Raw genomic sequence first — 20,324 nt, 5'->3', positions numbered from 1 at the left:
TGACTACACTGTTAGTTATTGTGTTTATTTTTGTATGTTGGCACATACACAGAGGATACTCAGCCATTGCTGAGGGAATGGATGGATGACAGTGTTACAAACTCAGTTCAGTTGCTCACTGCTTGCAGAGTCCAATTAACAAGAGGGAGGTCTGGTATAAACAAAGTGACTTTTTATTCCAAAGCTAGCTCAGGGAAGAAGTACAGGCTTCCTGCCTTAAGGGTACTGCTTTGTCTTTGGAGCAGAAAGTGGGTGTCAGGCCTCTGAGCCCAAGCTAAGCCATCATATCCCCTGTGACCTGCATGTATACATCCAGATGGCCTGAAGTAACTGACGAATCACAAAAGAAGTGAAAATGACCTGTTCCTTGTGAAATTTCTTCTCCTGGCTCATCCTGGCTTAAAAGCTCCCCCACTGAGGACCTTGTGACCCCCACCCCTGCCAGCCAGAGAACAACTCCCTTTGACTGTAATTTTCCACTACCTACCCAAATCCTATAAAATGGCCCCACCCCATCTCCCTTCACTGACTTTCTTTTAGGACTCAGCCCACCTGTGCCCAGGTGATTAAAAAGCTTTATTGCTCACACAAAGCCTGTTTGGTGGTCTCTTCACATGGACACGTGTGACAGTGGGTGCTTTTAAAGAGAGTCTATCATGAATGGCACACAGGAGTAGTAGTAAACAGGTGGGGACTCCATTGCCAGCTTGGTGCCTTATCTACTGGGCAGTCGAGTTGGTGTCTTCATGGGCAGAAATAGGTTGTAAAGGTGGCCAACTCTCCAGGTGAGAGAGAGTTTTGTAGCAGGACTTTGGGTTGTAAATCGACTATTACCAACCTACTGGTGGGTGAGAGTTCTGTTCTGGAGCTTCTAAGCACATCGTTAGATCAACTTGCCCTGTAGGGAGTATCTGGTGAAGGGAAGGTAAAAGGTTACCCTTTCATTTCTAAAAGGCTGAGTGGAAAGTGGGAGATAGGGAGAAATGGAGAAAAGAGGAAAGAAGAGAAAATAATTAAAAAATACTGTTTCTTTTTTTCTTAGAAAAATTAGGATACTTGGTTACAGAAGTATGAATGAATGATTACTTTTCTAGGGAGTCTGCTATCTGTATCAGTGTTACTTGGTTCAGAGGTTCATATGTTCATGATTTCATAATTAAATTCTGTTTGCAATTTTATAAGGTTTCCATATTAACACTGAATTTTGCATTGTTTACAAGTTAATTTTCTTTTTTATTAGTTTCTTTCTATTTGAGATTTAAGACAGAACTTATTTTTTTTTTAAAGAATGGTTCTTACCTGTTGTAAATGGAACACTTTGTTTGTTTACTTAACAGAGGTTCAAATCAAGGGGAAAATTGACAAGGCAGTGATATATAGGCTATTCATTTAAGCATTATTAAAATGTGGATGATCTCATCTTTCCTCTAGTAACAACATTTAAAAATACTCCACAGGATTAAAAAATCAGATGACATTATTATTTATTCTCATTTTTCTATCTTTTGTAATATATATTTGAATGAAGCTATACATCTTAATTAATTTAATAATTAATAAAATCAAATATAAAAGTAGCTTATTTCTGAGACTTTTAAAGAGTTTCCATTTTCAACCATTATATAATAGGTTAGTTATCTCTTTATAGCTTCTGTCAGGCAAATGGACCGAGGCCTAACACAGTACAGATTTTAGAGGACAGAACATTCCCTAATGGTTTTAAATCTTTCATAATTATAGAAAACAACTTTCTTCATACTTTTACTACACTTAAGCTCTGGATTTCCGTACTTCTAATAATGCACTATTGCATTATTTGGATTCAAATGCTGAAATCTATTATAGCAGTTATATAACATGCAAAATTATCAGTTTAGACAATGTACCGAAGTTCAAGAAGAGGAAAACAAATAGGAAAACCTTAAGAGTCGAGTCAGTTGATAAGGACTCCGAAAGAAAAACACATTGTGGATTTCTGCTTTTAGGTTTTTATCTGGAGCCTATGTACTTACATCTCCTCCTCTGCCTACCCCTCTTACAGTCCATTGAAAGAATAAAAATGGTAAAAAAAAGAAAACCGCTGTAGGACTACTGGAAAAGAGAGAAAAGGCTACTTTTTATACCATTGACATATAAGAAATGTAGAACTTCTGGAGTGTGTGAAACACAGGGAACCACACTGAAACCAAACTAATCAGACTTGCATAGCAGGTAAGTAGGGAGCCTCTTGAGAAGTAAGTAAGTGGGTAATTTCCTCAACTTATCCTGAAAGAGTTTTCATTTTGGAGCAACAGAGGTTTAAACAAGGATGTACTGAGGGCAAGAGGTGAGGGTTTAATTATTTTAGAAACTTTACTAGTGACCTATATCGTATGTTTCCTTACATATTACTTTATATGGATAGTGTACTAAATAAAAAACTAATAGGTTGAGGAGAAAATAAAAGTCAAAGACTATTTAGAAATTATTAGAAGTGGGATAATCATATATGAAAATCTATGGGATGTGTTCAAAGACATATACAGAAAATAATCCAAGTCAAATTAATTTCATAATGTAGCAGAAAGATTGAAAATAAATTAGCTAATCCACGCTTGTCACTTAATGGTTTTGAGGAGTGCTGCATTAAGAAGGATTCTAAAGATGAGTCTGTGCTGACCACTGAGTGTGGCTGTTAAAGAGTAGAGAAAACAGGGTTCAGTGGATTTTGTTGGATGCACTGTATAAAGCCATTAATAACCAGATTTTTTTAAAAATTTTAAATTATTTTTAAATTTTGCTTTAAGTTCTGGGATACATGTGCAGAACGTGTAGGTTTGTTACATAGGTATACATGCGCCATGGTGGTTTGCTGCACCTATCAACCCGTCATCTAGGTTTTAAGCCCCACGTGCATTAGGTATTTGTCCTAATGCTCTCCCTCCACTTGCCCCCAACCCCCTGATAGGCCCTGGTGTGTGTTGTTCCCTTCCCTGTGTCCATGTGTTCTCACTGTTCAACTCCCACTTATGAGTGACAACAGGTGGTGTTTGGTTTTCTGTTCCTGTGTTAGTTTGCTGAGAATGATGGCTTCCAGCTTCATCCACGTCCCAGCAAAGGACAGGCACTCATCCTTTTTTATGGCTGCATAGCATTCCATGGTGTATATTTGCCATATTTTCTTTATCCAGTCTATCATTGATGGACATTTGCGTTGGTTCCAAGTCTTTGCTATTGTAAATAGTGCTGCAATAAACATACGTGTGCATGTGTCTTTATAGTAGAATTATTTGTAATCCTTTGGGTATATACCTAGTAATGGGATTGCTGGATCAAATGGATTTCTAAGAACCAGATAATTCTTATATTGCTCCAAAGCACAGAGTGAGAGGAAGTTTCCCCAATTATTTTTTGAAGCAAGCATAATACTGATACCCAAATCTGAGGAATAAAGCATTTCAAAAGAAAACTAAAGGCCCGGGCACGGTGGCCTCATTCTTATAATCTTAGCACTTTGGGAGGCTGAGGCAGGAGAATCACTTGTGGTCAGGAGTTTGAGATCAGCCTGGCCAATATGGTGAAACCCCATCTCTACCAAAAAATACAAAAATTAGATGGGCGTGGCAGCGTGCCCCTGTAGTCCTAGATACTTGGAAGGCTGAGGTGGGAGAATCACTTGAACCCAGGAGGCGGAGGTTGCAGTGAGCAGAGATTGCACCACTGACCTCCAGCCTGAGTGACAGAGTGAGAGCCTGCCTCAAAAAAAAAAAAAAAAAAAGAAAAAACTAAAGATAAATTTGTAGACACCTCAAATAAAATATGTTCAAATAGATTTCACCAGTAAACATTGTAAAATAAGCAGAAACATTGTTTACAGTGAAATATAAAATTCTTCACACCTGCAAGTGATAAAAGAAACTCCTTTCAATTTCTGTTAATCATAAATTAAAGAAATTGTATTACAATTCACAGATAAGGTGGTGAATAATATCCATTCAGCTTTGTCCAGACTAGCATGGATGATAGTGATGTGGCGGAACTCACCTTTGTGGCTATTTAGTGACCTGTTATCATGTGGGCTGTGAGGAATCAGTAGCATCTAGACTGAAAGTCTGAGAATAGGTGAAAGCCGAAGTAGGATGCCCAGTACCTGATTTTTAATATGAAACTCTCTTTTGCCTCTTTATGTTTTGAGTTGGTTATCTGAATGCCTGTCTTATTTGCCTTTGCTTTCATGAGATAAGAACTATAATGATTCACCTTTGTTTCCATCTAGGACAGACTTTTCCATAGAGTGGGTGCTAAGAAAACATTTAATTGAATTTAATTAAAGAGGCTTTGGCATAGTAGGAAGTTCACTGATCTTGGAGACAGCGATTTGGTTTCAAGGCCAGGCTTTGGTCAGGATGCTTCCTTTCCAGCTCAACTAGGACTTTCCCTCTGGGGAGCCTCCTTGTCACCCACTCTACCCTGCATTCTGAATGAGCTCATTCTCTGTGTTTTCCCACAAACCTGTTCTTCCCTTTCTGGGGCACTTAGCACTATCCTGTGTCTCCTCTGTGAGACAGTGAATGCGCTGGGTTCAAACTCTGTCCTCTGAATCCTGTATTTGCAGAGATTAGTACCCCCCATAGTGCTAAAAAAATTGTTACATGAATAAATGGTTTAACTTCTCTGTGCTTAAGTTTTTTCCATCTAAAAATAATAATGTTAATAATACATAATATTGGGGTTTCCAAGAACCTCCCTTAGAAAAAAGGCTACCCCCCTTTCATAAGAACAGCAGTTGTTTGTTATTGAACACTTATTAGATGTTGACTGACCAGACGCTTCACATATATTACCATTATGTCCTACCCTGGTGCCACAATGAGATAGGTGCTATTGTTCCCATTTTATAGGTGTTTGGAGAGGCAAAGGCACTGCCCCAAATCAATAGCAAGCAAGTCAATGGCAGAGCTGGGATTTGAATTCCAAGTCTGTAATTTTTCTACTGTAGAATTTAGTCACATGCGTTTAGTGTTTCCTTAGGAAGCTCCTCTTGGTTTGCCATCAACAGGTCTCCTCATGGCTATCCTGGCTGTGTCATGATGGTCTCCAAAAGTTTGACTCTGAAAGTTAAGCTACTGAGATCCAGTCCCTAATGCATTACTGGGTACATAGTAAGTGTCTGCTCAATATACAATTGTTGAATAAAATAATGAATTAGTGAATGAAAAGCTTATAGATGATACTAGTAATTTATGAAATAAACCAAGAGACTCTTCATGTATGTGTGGCTAAAGAGTTTTTAAACACAACTAACCTGGGCAACATAAAGAAACCCTCTGTCTCCAAAAATACAAAAATTAGCTAGGAGTGGTGGTGTGTGCCTGTAGTCCCAGCTACTCAGGGGGCTGAGGTGGGAGGTTCATTTGAGCCTACGAGGTCGAGGCCGCAGTGAGCTGCAATAGTGCTGTAGGACTTCAGCCTGGGCGACAGAGCAAGAACCTGTCTCAAAACAAATAAACAAACAAACAAACAAACACTCACAACTTTAGATGACATACAAATATTCCTAGAAAGGTAAAACTGGAAGTGGATTCTCATTTAGTAGTGGAAAATGTGAAATAAGGGATTGATTAGTTAACTAGGGATCTTATTAAAAATGAACATTTCTACATTCCATTTACAGGGTTTGTTATATTTAAACCCTCCGTTTGTAAATGTGATATACAATGCTTTGTGAATTGTAAATTGCTAATGATACACTTAATATATTATTAAGGAATTGTTTTCTTTTATGTGAAAGTTGAAGAAAGAGTCCTTTGGGATTTGTTGAAACTCAAGGAAGAGAACAGTTTTGAGACTCAGGAAGATCTAAAAAGAAAAGGGCTCTTTTATGCAGGGAAAATAATGTTTTTCTGTTTTTCATTTTTATTTTTATTGTCAGTGTCTCCTTAGAAACAAATCTGGTTGACTAAGCTTTAACAAATAGATTCAACTGGAATATTTGGCTATTTCAGGGTAGCGACATCCTTAGATTCCGTTAGGTGAGAGTGGTGTATTGTCACGATGCACACGAAGTCTGAAAGGACAGCCAGGAAATTCTGAGCAAGCCCGCAGTGTTCAGGATGAGCAGCAGCTCTGGGGAGCCCGGGCTGATTCTAGTTGCCTGTCATGCTTGTGACTCAGCAGCCCTTTGCTTCCCTCAGTTGATTCCTTCCTGTTCCATCACTGATTCGTTACGCCTTTCTTCTCTCCTTGTTTCTGCCAGTGGCTTCTGCTTATTGCGTTATTTTAAAAAATACAAATAAGAAACCATTAGAGGCTTACTGTGTGCCAAACAAAGTCTCATTTTTACACTCACAGGGTATAGGGTGTCTTTCTTTTCTGATTATTCATTACCTTAGTCCCCAAATTGAGTGCACAGGGAGCCCCAAAGCCATCACATAAGAAAATATTCATGAATGAACAGAAGACTATATATTTCCCACCCAAAACTCCTCCCCACTTATTATTAGTCTTGGTGATTAACAAACCACTCATATACAATGTAAATGTAATTCAAAGCATAATAGTAAAATTTGCAAAAGATGTAGAATTTAATGAAGTTGTCAACAGAAAAGCCATTGATAAATGAGAATTTGGGAATGTGGCCAGTTAACAATTGGAGAAGATAAAATTGACGTGGATCACAACATAATAAACATGCTAAAAAAGAAAGATTTGAGTAGTAAAGTCTTGGAATAATTTTAGAAGTCATGGAATATATTCTTAAAAATGCGAAATGCAACGTGAACCGTATTATCCTAGCATTTTGTTTTGTCCTCCTAACTCCATGACTTGACACTTTGTTCATTCTAATACTTGGTATATACTGAAAGCTATAATCTAAATATTAGTAATATTTCAAAATACTTATTTTTATAATTCTAATTTTATTTTTAAGATAAAGTCATAATCATACTTTTGACCATTTGCTCAAAATTTCTGGACTCTGTTTTAGTGGATTTATTTTAGGTGCCAAACAATTATCAATTGCCCTTTTTTAATGACAACCTCTTATGCTATTATTTTTCTAATTTTACAGGTGAGGAAAATGAAGTCCAGAGAGGTTCACTCACTTGCTTTAAGGTTTTTTGTTGGTCACTGAGAGAACTGGGATTAGAATGTAGGCACTAAGACTTCACATACCACATTCTTAAATACTAAGTTAAACTGTCCTTATGCCCTATCAATTCCCTTTTTATATCTCAAATTCAAATTTTCAGGAAAGGTTCTTTTAGGCTGGATCATTACTATTTGGCCTAGAGTACCCCTGTTTGACACAGCTCTGGTTCCAGAACATTCCTGTGCTGCTGTCAGCCTCCAAGTAGCTCTTCTGAAGTTAATGCCCAAATCTCTGGTTCAATCAGTTGCCACTAGTTTAATGGCAAGGTTATATAATGCATGGCTACTTACTCTCAAGGAATTGTCTTTAATCATTTGGAAAGATACTTTGGTTGTGGCATTCATTTTATGTCTTCTCAAAAAAGGAACAAATAATACACAGGCTCCCGGCATGGCCTATTTAATTTCCACGTTTTTTAAATATGCTATCTAAATAGAAGATTTGCTCATAGCTTTACCTTCTTTGTTGGTAACTGAGAGAACTGGGATAAGAACGTAGGCACTAAGACTTCACAGGAATGAGTATAAACAGAAGACATCATTATTCTACCCACTGTTCCACACAGTCCGTCTCTCACTCTCAAGGACTATGTTAATTGTGCTACTTGAAAACTGGTTTTGCTATTTTGAAAACTGGTTTTGCTGTTCTGAAATACATTTTAGAAATCTTTGGTATGTTCAATATTATATGATTGAGTGTAGGCATTAACATAGGTCAGACTTTTATCTTTTTCAAGTCCCCAGGCTTTTTACGAAATAAGAATTAGGCTCTTGGTGATTTTTGAGTGATATATGTTCATGGGGTTAGAGAAACATGAATAGCTACTTGGAGCCCTTACAAACTGAAAGTCATCTAAAACTTATAAATGATAAAGTCTGTGACAAATTATTAATAGGCCCAAATAATCTCTTTAGCTTTCACTTTAAAGTCCTGCTAATAACACCTTACTTTTATATAGGATATTATGACTTGAGAATTTTCTTACATTCATTTTCTCATTCACGGTCACAAAACTATATGATGTAGAAAAGGGAAATGGCATTACTCTGTTTTTAAGGTGAGGATACTGAGGTTGTTCTGATGTCTAGCAGTGACAGTCCAACACTGGAATAATTCCCTCAACTCCTGGTTCAGTGCTTTTTCCACTCCCCATAATAAAGAAGGAGAATAAGACGATAATGAAGAAAAGAAGAAAGATACCTAATAATTGTTAAATACCAACCATGTGCTTAATATACTATTTAAGAAAGTTAATTTTCAATTATTTTGCATATTAAAGTTGCAGAATACATGCTTTAAATTCTTTTCTCTGTATCAGCAAGATCAATATCATATCTATTTTGTAAGTGAAGAAATTGTAGAATATTAAACAATGTAGACACATTAGGAAAATCAGTTGGGAAATTAATTAGAATAATTATGTGTTTATCATCAGGTAATTATTAAAATAATTAACAAAAGGGGATTTACCCAGACTAATTAGTTGTGTCTTTTATCCAGGGCAGCTGTTAGAATTTTGTCAGATTTTCTCATCTTGCTTCAGCAATAGGTTTTATTTTAAATTTTTCTTAGTTAAAATTGGCTTATTAATTATGGTAAATCACATAGGTCAGAACAGTTTTTACACTGCTCTTATTGGGAAAAATAATACTTTTTCCTAAGCATTTAATAGTAATAATTTTAAAAAAGTTAAAAACAAAACAAAATAACACCAGCTGAAGAAGACTCACCCTTGGGGTGATCGGTAGCTTATCATACACTGATTGCATCTTATGCTCAAAATCATTGGCATGCAGTATATTACATTTAATCATAGTTCAGGCTCCAGGACTTTTTTTTGTGGGGTGCTACGGAGAGAACAATAATAAAAAAAATGTGAGTCTCTGCATTTCTGACTCATTCTCTTTATTCTTCTTTACATCATGTATTCAGAAAAGAGTGGTTTCTGTAGAATGGTTGATTATGGCAATAATTATAACTCGTAGTTTTATTATAGGCAATTATTTGAGGTGGAAAATTCCTGAAATTTGGACTAATGTTATCCTATTACCCATTTCATATTGAAACCGAATTTATTGGCTGAAAAATTTAGCTTATGAACCCCTTTTAACAAGCTCCTGAAATAAATCAAGGCTTTTTTTAGATACATGTCCTTGCCATGAGTGCTTATCGGAATGACATTTTTGTGACTCTTGGCACATTAAACTTTCTGGTTTTCCTGACTGGTCATTTGAGGACAAATTAAGAAAAGATTGAGGATAAAGAAAAAAATGACTCTGAAGGCAGTTGTACTTAATTCTAAGATATAAAGAAAGGCTGTGGAAATATCATGTCTGAATTTAAAACAGAAATTACTTGTGACTTTCTGAGACTAATTGACAGGCAGAGAGTTTGCTTGGGATTTAAGTAGCCATTTTGTCAAGCAAAACACATGCAACAAAACATGTCATTCCACTGAATAGGACTTAAACATGGCTCAACTGTATTAATATCTTATACATAATATTTCATTTATCATTATTTTATCAAAATATTAAATTTTGGTCATATATTTGATTTATTTAACTTTATATAGCTAAATTATCCTAACATAGATTAAATAGAATTTCTGGCTAAGTTTTCAACTTTTATCACTCTTGCACGTTACTTTTTGTTAAGCCCATCAAAATCTTATGTTTAACAAAATGTAATTTAACCAGCTGAAAAACACTGAGAATATTTACCTTTAAGGTTTGTATTGTATTTTTAAATATTTTAAATAAAACGGTATTTGCTATATCAGCAATTTAGGCATAACAGTATTTATGACATCAAAGAAAAAATCATGCAGTTTGTTTAAGTGAGAGGTTCTGTAAGGTTGGGGAAAAAACATGAGGTTTACATCCTTATTGTATTATTTACTATCTTTGATATCTGAGGCAATAATTTAATTAGTCTGGGTCCATGTTCCCTCAACTATAAAATAATCTTTATTGCAGATGGTGCCTAGGCATATGCTGGATGTTCCATAAATATTAATTTCTGTCTTCTCGTGTATTTAATATATGTGATATTTTATTTTTTAAAAATGTGATTATATGAATAAATAGCCTTTTTAAATTCCAAAAAGTTATATATATTGTTCATATTATAGTTGTTTCATAAATTTGTTTTTAGGATCAATTAGTCAAAAATCCTGTCTTTTCAAAACTCTTTTTTTTCACTGTTACCAGTTAACTTTGTATTCATACTACACATATGGATTCACATTCTGGACTAGCAGTGCTTCTTAGCCATGTATCCTGCTAAAATCCATGTGTGTACATGCCACACATTTCGTACACCAGGTACGGAGTGTGGAACATACTCAATGGGCGGGTCAAGTCTATGCACGATGAGACTAGTTGGAAGACGTGTAGCTTCTGAATTTAAATGAAGGTATGGAGATTGCAGCTCTGACTCGGACAGACAGAGCAGCCTGCAGAGGCTCACATCATGAATTTTAGCTCCAGATCAACTGCAAGAACAAACCAGCAATCCTGAGAGGACCCACACATCCTCTGAAGGAAGCAGACTGCTCTTGCAGGACCTGGGAGACACCCCAAATACTGTGAATGCCCCAACTGCGGAAGTAGGAAAGGGAGATCCTCTTCTGAACACACACACCCACTGGCGAAACTGAAGGTGCTGGTATCCATGGCTGAGAGACCCACAGATGGTTCACATCATAGGACTCTGTGCAGACAATCCCTTCCCAGTACCAGCCTGGAGTGCGTAGACTTGCTGGATGGCTAGACCCAGAAGAGAGATAACAATCACTACAGCTTGGCTCTCAGGAAGCCACATCCATAGGAAAAGGGGGAGAATACTACATCAAGGGAACACCTTGTGGGATGAAAGAATTTGAACAACAGCCTCCAACCCTAGACCTTCCCTTTGACAGAGACTACCCAAATGAGAAGGAACCAGTTCTATTACCAACTCTGGTAATAGAACAAGGCTCTTTAACACCCCCACACCCCCACAAAATCAAACTAGTTCGCCAGCAATGGATCCAAACCAAGAAGAAATCCCTGATTTACCTGAAAAATAATTCAGGAGGTTAGTTATTAAGCTAATCAGGGAGGTACCAGAGAAAGGTGAAGCACAATGTAAGGAAATCCAAAATATGATACAAGAAATATTCAAGGAAATAGATAGGTTAAATAATAAAACAACCAAAACTTCAGGATACACTGAACACACTTATAGAAATGCAAAATGCCCTGGAAAGTCTCAGCAATAGACTTGAACAATAGAAGAAATAAATTCAGAGCTTGAAGGCAAGGTCTTTGAATTAACCCAATCCAACAAAGACAAAGAAAAAAGAATAAGAAAATATGAACAAAGCCTCCAAGAAGTCTGGGATTATGTTAAATGATCAAACCTAAGAATAATCGGTGTTTCTGAGGAAGAAGATAAATCTAAAAGTTTGGAAAACATATTTGGGGTAATAATCAAATAAAACTTCCCCAGCCTTGCTAGAGACCTAGACATCCAAATACAAGCAGCACAAACAACAACTGGGAAATTCATTGCAAAAAGATCATCACCTAGGCACATTGTCATCAGGTTATCTAAAGTTAAGATGAAGGAGAGAATCTTCAGAGCTGTGAGACATAAACACCAGGCAACCTATAAAGGAAAACCTATCAGATTAACGGCAGATTTCTCAGCAGAAACCCTCCAAGCTAGAAGGGATTGGGGCTCTATCTTCAGCTTCCTCAAACAAAACAATTATTAGCCAAAAATTTTGTATCCAGCAAAACTAAGCAACATATGTGAAGGAAAGATACAGTCTTTTTCAGACAAACAAATGCTGAGATAATTTGCCACTACCGAGCCACCACTATAAGAACTGGTAAGGAGCTCTAAATCTTGAAACAAATCTTGGAAACACATTAATACAGAACCTCTTTAAAGCATAAATTACACAGGACCTATAAAACAAAAACATGTTAAAAAGCAAAAACAAAATACAGAAAAACCAAAGTACACAGGCAATAGATAGCACGATGAATGCAACGGTACCTCACATCTCAATACTAACATTGGAGCCTAAGTGCTCCACTAGACGGGTTGTCAAGTCTGAAAGCCAACAAAGAAACAATGGATTTAAACGAATGAACTTTACACATATATACAGAACATTTCATCCAACAACTGCAGAATACACATTCTATTCAACAGCACATGGAACTTTCTCCTAGATAGACCATATGATAGGCCATAAAATGAGCCCCAATAAATTTAAGAAAATTGAAATTATATCAAGCACTTTCTCAGACCACAGTGAAATAAAACTGGCAACCAACTCCAAAAAGAACCTTCAAAACCATGCAAATACATGGACATTAAATAATCTGCTCCTGAATGATCCTTGGGTCAAAAACAAAATCAAGATGGAAATTTAAAAATTCTCCAAACTGAACGACAATAATGACACAATGTATCAAAACCTCTAGGATACAGTAAAGGTGGTGCTAAGAGGAAAGTTAGCCCTAAAGACCTACATCAAAAAGACTGAAAGAGCACAAACTGACATTCTAAGGTCACACCTCAAGGAACTAGGGAAACAACAAACCAAACCCAAACCCAGCAGAATAAAGGAGATAACCAAGATCAGAGCAGAACTAAATGAAATGGAAACAACAACAACAAAAAAATACAAAAGAGAAATGAAACAAAAAGCTGGTTCTTTGAAAAGAGAAAATTAATAGACCCTTAGCAAGATTAACCAAGAAAAGAAGAGAGAAAATTCAAATAACCTCATTAAGAAATGAAACAAGAGATATTACAACTGGCACCACTGAAATACAAAAGATCATTCAAGGCTACTATGAACATGTTTATGCAGATAAACTAGTAAACCTCGAAGAGATGGATAAATTCCTGAAAAAATACAACCCTCCTAGCTTAAATCAGGAAGAATTAGATACCCTGAACAGACCAATAACAAGCAGTGAGATTGAAATGTAATTTAAAATGTAATTTAAAATTTACCAACAAAAGAAGTCCAGGGTTAGATGGATTCACAGCAGAATTCTACCAGACATTCAAAGAAGAATTAGTACCAATCCTTTTGACACTATTCCACAAGATAGAGATAGGAGGAACCATCCCTAACTCATTCTATGAAGCCGGCATCACCCTAATATCAAAACCAGGGAAAGACATAACCAAAATAGAAAACTACAGACCAATATCCTTGATGAACTTAGATTCCAAAATCCTTAACAAAATACTAGTTAAGTGAATCCAACAACATATCAAAAAGACAATCCACCATGATCAAGTGGGTTTTATATCAGGGATGCAGGGATAGCTTAACATTTGAAAGTCAATAAATGTGATACACCACATAAACAGAATTAAAAACAAGACTCACATGATCATCTCAATAGATGCAGAAGAAGCATTTGACAAAATCCAGCATCGCTTTATGATTAAAACTCTCAGCAAAATCAGCATACAAGGGACATACCTCAATGTAATAAAAGCCATCTATGACAAACCCACAGCCAACATAATATTGAATGGGGAAAAGTTGAAAGATTCCCTCTGAGAACTGGAACAAGACAAGGATGCCTACTCTCACCACTCCTCTTCAACATTGTACTGCAAGTCCTAGTCAGAGCAATCAGACAAGAGAAAGAAATAAACGGCATCCAAATCAGTAAAAAGGAAGTCAAACTGTTACTGTTTGCTGATGATATGATTGTATACTAGAAAACCCTAAAGACTCCTCCAAAAGCTCCTAGAACTGATAAAAGAATTCAGCAAAGTTTCCAGATACAAAATTAATGTATATGAACCAGTAGCTCTTCTATACACCAACAGCAACCAAGCAGAGAATCAAATCAAGAACTCAACCCCTTTTACAATAGCTGCAAAATAAAATAAAATAAAATAAAATAAAATAAAATAAAATAAAATAAAATAAAATAAAATAAAATACTTAGAGATATACCTAACCAAGGAGGTAAAAGACCTCTACAAGAAAAACTACAAAACACTGCTGAAAGAAATCATAGATGACACAAACAAATAGAAACATATCCCATGCTCATGGATGGATAGAATCAATCTTGTGAAAATGACTATACTGCCAAAAGCAATCTACAAATTCATTTTAATGCAATCCCCATCAAAATACCACCATCATTATTCACAGAATTAGAAAAAACAATCCTAAAATCCCTATGGAACCAAAAAAGAGTCCACATAGCCAAAGCAAGACTAAGCAAAAAGAACAAATCTGGAGCATCACACTACTGGATTTCAAACTATACTATAAAGCCATAGTCACCAAAACAGCATGGTACTGGTATAAAAATAGGCACATAGACCAATGGAACAGAATAGAGAACCCAGAAATAAGCCCAAATACTTAAGCCAACTGATCTTTGACAAGGCAAACAAAAACATAAAGTGGGGAAAGGACACCCTATTCAACAAATGGGGCTGGGATAATTGGCTAGCCACATGTAGGAGAATGAAACTGGATCCTCATCTCTCATCTTATACAAATCTTAACTCAAGATGGATTAAGGACTTAAAGCTAAGACCTGAAACTATTAAAAATTCTAGAAGAAAACGTTGGAAAAACCCTTCTAGACATTGGCTTAGGCAAGGATTTCATGACCAAGAACCCAAAAGCAAATACAATAAAAACAAAGATAAATAGCTGGGACTTAATTAAACTAAAGAGTTTTTGCACCGCACAAGGAACAGCCTGCAGAGTAAACAGACAGCCCACAGAGTGGGAGAAAATCTGCACAATCTATACATCTGACAAAGGACTAATATTCAGAATCCCCAACAAACGCAAACAAATCAGTAAGGAAAAAAACAATCAATCCCATCAAAAAGTGGGCTAAGGACATGAATAGACAATTCTCAAAAGAAGACATACAAATGGCCAAGAAACATATGAAAAAATGCGCAACAACTCTAATGATCAGGGAAATGCAAATCAAAACCACGATGCGATACCACCTAACTCCTACAAGAATGGCCATGATCAAAAAATCAAAAAACAGTAGATGTTGATGTGGATGCGATCATCAGGGAATGCTATACTGCTGGTGGGAATGTAAACTAGTACAACCACTATGAAAAACAGTGTGGAGACTCCTTAAAGACCTACAAGGAGAACTGCTGTTTGATCTAGCAATCCCACTACTGGGTATCTACCCAGAGGAAAAGAAGTCATTTTCTGAAAAAGATACTTGCACACGCATGTTTATAGCAGCACAATTTACAATTGCAAAATTGTGGAACCAACCCAAATGCCCATCAATCAACAAGTGGATAAAGAAACTGTGGTATATATATATACACACACACACACACACACACACACACACATATATACACACACACATATATATACACACCACAGTTTATCCACTTGTTGATATATATATGTGTATATATATGTATATACATATATACACATATACATATGTATATATATACACATATACATATGTATATATATACACATATATACATATACACACACACATATATATACACATATACATATATATATACACACACATATATATATACACCACAGTTTCTTTATCCACTTGTTTATATATATATATATATATATATATATATATATATATATTTGATGGAATACTATTCAGCAATAAAAAGGAATGAATTAATGGCATTTGCAGCGACCTGGGTGAGATTGGAGACTATTATTTTAAGTGAAGTAACTCAGGAATGGAAACCCAAACATTGTATGTTCTTACTGATATATGGGAGCTAAATTATGAGGATGCAAAGGCCTAAGAATGATACGATGGACTTTGGGGACTTGGGGAGAAGGGTGGGAGGGAGGGAGGGATAAAAGACAACATATATGGTTCAGTGTATACTGCTTGGGTGATGGGTGCACCAAAATCTCACAAATCACCACTAGAGAACTTACTCATGTCACCAAATACCATCTGTACCCCAGTAACTTACGGAAAAATAAAAAACAAAAATAAGAAATAAATGAATTTATGATCATAAAAGTTGCAATGTCAGATAAGAGTTTCTAAATACTTTCACAGTTAGAAAGCAGCTCAAAGACTCAGGCAGAAGGACCAATTCTATGAAAAATGCACAGTGTTTCCTGTTAACATTTACCTTTGCAATGCATGATTGTGTTTTGTTTCATGGGTTTGACATAGTTCACTGCAATAAGACTAAAGGAAAAGAAATGTAGTTCACTGCAATAAGACCAAAAAGACTAAACGGGCCAGGCATGGTGGCTCACGCCTGGAAGCCTAGCACTTTGGGAGGCCGAGGTGGGCAGATCACTTGAGGTCAGGAGTTCAAGAGAAGACTGACCAACGTAGTGAAACCCCATCTCTACTAAAAATAGAAAAAATTAGCTGGGCATGGTGACGCATGTCTGTAATCCCAGCTACTCGGGAGGCTGAGGCATAAGAATTGCTTGAATGGGGAAGCAGATGCCACAGTAAGCCGAGTTCAGGCCACTGCACTCCAGCTTGGGCAAAAGAGCAAAACTCTGTTTCAAAAAAAAAAAAAAAGGCTAAATGGGAAAAGAGGTTTGGGGGAGAACAGTGTGATGTAAGAGAAGCATGATGGGTGTTAAAGAAAACTTATTGATCATATCAATCTTTGTTATGAAGGAATGGCCATATAGTCAAAATTCTTTATGTTGCTTCTTTTTGAAATTTGATTTCTGCTTGCTTTCCTTTGCTGCTACTTATCCACTGGATGAAAGCTCACCAAGTGTGCTGGTAAGACACACTCACAAAATAACTACCTGCCTTCACTGTATCTCCAAGGACTCTTGGTGGTATTTGAGTGGGGGTGAGTGGAAGTGAGGAACTTACATTTTTTCCTAATTGTTTTATGTTCTCTTTCCCTTGAGACTACTACTGGTAATATGGCATCTATATAATGGTCTGGTGACATTGACAATAAGGGTTAAAGTGGAGCTTGGGAGAAACAACGGTGATGACTGTAGTAACTCATGGACTTTGTCTTTGATGGTTAAGTTCTGAAATTAGTACTTGAAAGATCAGAGCAGAGATTTCACTTTAAAGAACTGGTTCTCAACAAGCCGGATTTTGCCCCTAGAAGATATTAGGCAATGCCTGGAGATATTTTTGATTGACTTACATGTTCTTACTCGTTTTTCCTTCTCAAATTCCTCCTTCTATTCTACCCTACCCCACCCCAAGCCAATCCTATTTTCATTTAGTCTTATTGAAGTGAACTATGTCAAAACCATGAAACAAAATACAATCATGCATTTCAAAGGTAAATGTTAACAGGAGACACAGGAGAGGGTATGTATGTGCTACTGGCATTGGGGCATAGAGGCCAGTGATGCAGTTAAACATTCTACAAGGCACAAGACAGCCTGCCATAACAAAAAATTATCTAGTAGAAAATGTCAATAGTGCTAAGTTTGAGAAACTTTGCTTTAAAAAGACCAACTGGCTTTGAAATTAGTGAGTCTTGACTATAAGGGATTGAAGGTATTAATATATCATGAAAAATGTCCTGATTAGAATAATGGAAATTAGAATTTTTTAAAAAGATAAACTTTGGCAATACCTATCCAAGCAGTGTTCAGGGGAACTTTCATTCCTTCAACAAATATTTATTGAATGCTTACTGTGAGCCATACTACATTCTAGGAGTTCAACATGAGTTATGGCATTATTTCGTGTCTTCTTCCTTATTAAGGAGATGGACCCATAAGTCCATTAGACCTGCTATTATCAAACATCCAAATAATAAAATTAACTGCACCTGCTTCCCATTCTGAGCCTAGGTTTACCAAGCTTCTTTGAAAATTTTGTTTCCATGAAGCATGTGTCCAAAAAAAGACTGTACTATTTAGGCCAATGCCCCTATTCGACTGACAATTACATTTATCTGTGTGAAGTAATCCATTAGCATTCGTTTCATATGGGTTTGTTTTGCATAACTTAGCATTCCTGAGTTTTATCACTCTGAGACATTGGTGAGATCCAGTTTCTGGTCCTACATGGTATGTGTGCCAGCGACCCCAGATAGTGAGCAATTTTCTGAGGTACGTATAAATGTGGGCCTCAGTGAATGGCCATCTTATTTTTTTCTAAGGTCCTACTCTTTCTCAGCATGTTCTTTAATTGAACTTCTAACAGTAAATTATTTATTCTTAAGAGGAAAAGAAGAATAGATGATGACATTAAACTTCTTAGTGCTTACATACTTATTTTTAGACATGTTGTTAACATTAATTTTTTGATGATTGAGATTTGTATAGCTTATTGCAATCACGAGCTCAATAATTTTTATAAAAAAAGGTATTACCCAGCTCAAAATAATGCCTTTTTTTCTCTAATTCCTGCAGCATTTATTATTGGAATATTTACTTTTAGACTTAATCACATTCCAGCTTTTGTTGCTATTCACATGTATATGTATTTAAGTTACAATCAAAGTGGAATGTCAACTTCAAGAGTGCACGAAACAGGGTCTGTAACTTCTTGTGAACTTCTAGGACTTTCTTTATACTGGGTACCACTTAGGTACTCAGTGAAATTGGCTACTGTTTACTCAGCATCTACTGGGCATCGAGTGCTTTGTAGAAATTCTCTCACTAGCATTGAATGTGTTCAGATTTATTATGTGTTTTGGAGATCTGAATATCAGTGAAATGACTCAGACTAGAGTTCAGAAAAAAATGCTTATATTATTTTATATAAAATGAATATGACTCCATCTCTATCTCACAATCTGCAGCAGCCTGTTTTTTTTCCTTTTTTCCCCCATCACCAGATATCCCTTTGGACCCCCAGGGTTATCTACTTAGTCTAATGAGACTGTCCCAAGTTTCTATCTCCAGAAAATTGAGAGAATTGGCTGAATGGCATCATTCTGAGTTGCTATTGCAAATGTTGCTGCTCTTGGTGTTACATCTGAAACCTAGGTGAGTCTGGGCAGACCAGAGCAAATGTCCTTTCACTGAGACTGTGGCCAATCCACACAGTAGTTCCTCAGAGGGCTGCATCAGGGTAGAAAGTCATTAGCCACAGTCTGTGATAGAACCAGATGTTTCTTACTAGATTTCTACAAACAGGAACACAATCTCACCCTAAAAGCACTGCTAAAGGAGACTCCAACATTCAGACAAGGTAAGCCCAGTAATCCACAGGATATTTTCCAACATCTTGCCCCACTGGCTAGTATACCAGAGGTAAAGAAATTTACTACATCTCTGACCACCCTCAGAGACCTGGAACACTTGGCTCTTCCTACCCTCTTCTGTCCCAGTGCATTACTTTAGGAAGAGTCCAACTTGATTGTTACTTTTCCTTTGAAAGCATCTGAAAAAAGAGAATGCTTATTGATAGTCACCTTTCAGATTTAGTCAATTTGTTAGAGTGAGAACTCAGTTTGCTGCACATGTTTCACACACTATTAGACAACAGCAGGGTAGCCACTGGAAGTACAAAGGGAAGATCTACCAAACCCATTTTGGCTTATTTTAATGCAACAATTAATAAGCCTTAGTTTTAAAACAAAAGATGAGTCTGAGACAAATGCTCAAGTGCAAATGCAAAAGTGAATAGGACATCAGAACAACAGGCAAAAACCTGGACCACTCAGGGAAACTGGGATGTAAACTCCCTCTAAGGAAAAGGGTCCTGGTGATATCCAGGAAAGAAAAAGAAGGTCAATATTGCTAAAATGCGTTGAGCAATGGTTAGAGCAGAAGGAGATGAGATCACAGAGGTGGGGATGAGCCAGATAGTGCAGGGCTTCTAGGCAATGGTAAAGGTTGTGGATTTTATTCTAGTTATAATGGAAAGTAATGGGAGGATGTTCACCAGGGAAGCAACATGATCTAATTTGCATTTTGTAAGCAAGTCAGCTTGCTTATGAAGTTCTATATTCTACACGAAAGCAAACTGATTCTTGCTTTTGTGTAGAATATAGAATTTTTGGTAAAAGAATGATGGATGGGCAAACAGAAGGAAATTTCAGCAGCCCAAGGTAAAGATGATAATGGCTTAGACTACCATGATAAAGAATGGAAAGAAATGGTTAGATCTAGGATATATTTTGGGGCTGCTGATGAGATTAATTTGGGGTGTGAGAAAAAAGGTAACCATTAGGTTTCCAGCTTGAGCAACTGGGT

The 20,324-nt window shown here is 36.5% G+C and overlaps 1 long non-coding RNA gene across 1 annotated transcript in view; it reads left to right on the top strand.

Moving 5' to 3' along the window:
- The first annotated feature begins 1,986 nt into the window (after window positions 1-1,986).
- Window positions 1,987-20,324, top strand: part of LOC105371665 (uncharacterized) — a 37,592-nt gene continuing 19,254 nt past the window's right edge. The window contains exon 1 of the long non-coding RNA XR_922383.2: window positions 1,987-2,211. This is a non-coding gene — a long non-coding RNA (uncharacterized LOC105371665). The remainder of the gene's footprint in view (window positions 2,212-20,324) is intronic.

This window comes from Homo sapiens, chromosome 1 (assembly GCF_000001405.40).
Source record: "Homo sapiens chromosome 1, GRCh38.p14 Primary Assembly".
NCBI lineage: Eukaryota > Metazoa > Chordata > Mammalia > Primates > Hominidae > Homo > Homo sapiens.
The sequence above is the reverse complement of the archived record's forward strand: the minus strand, read 5'-3'. Positions and strand labels throughout refer to the sequence as shown.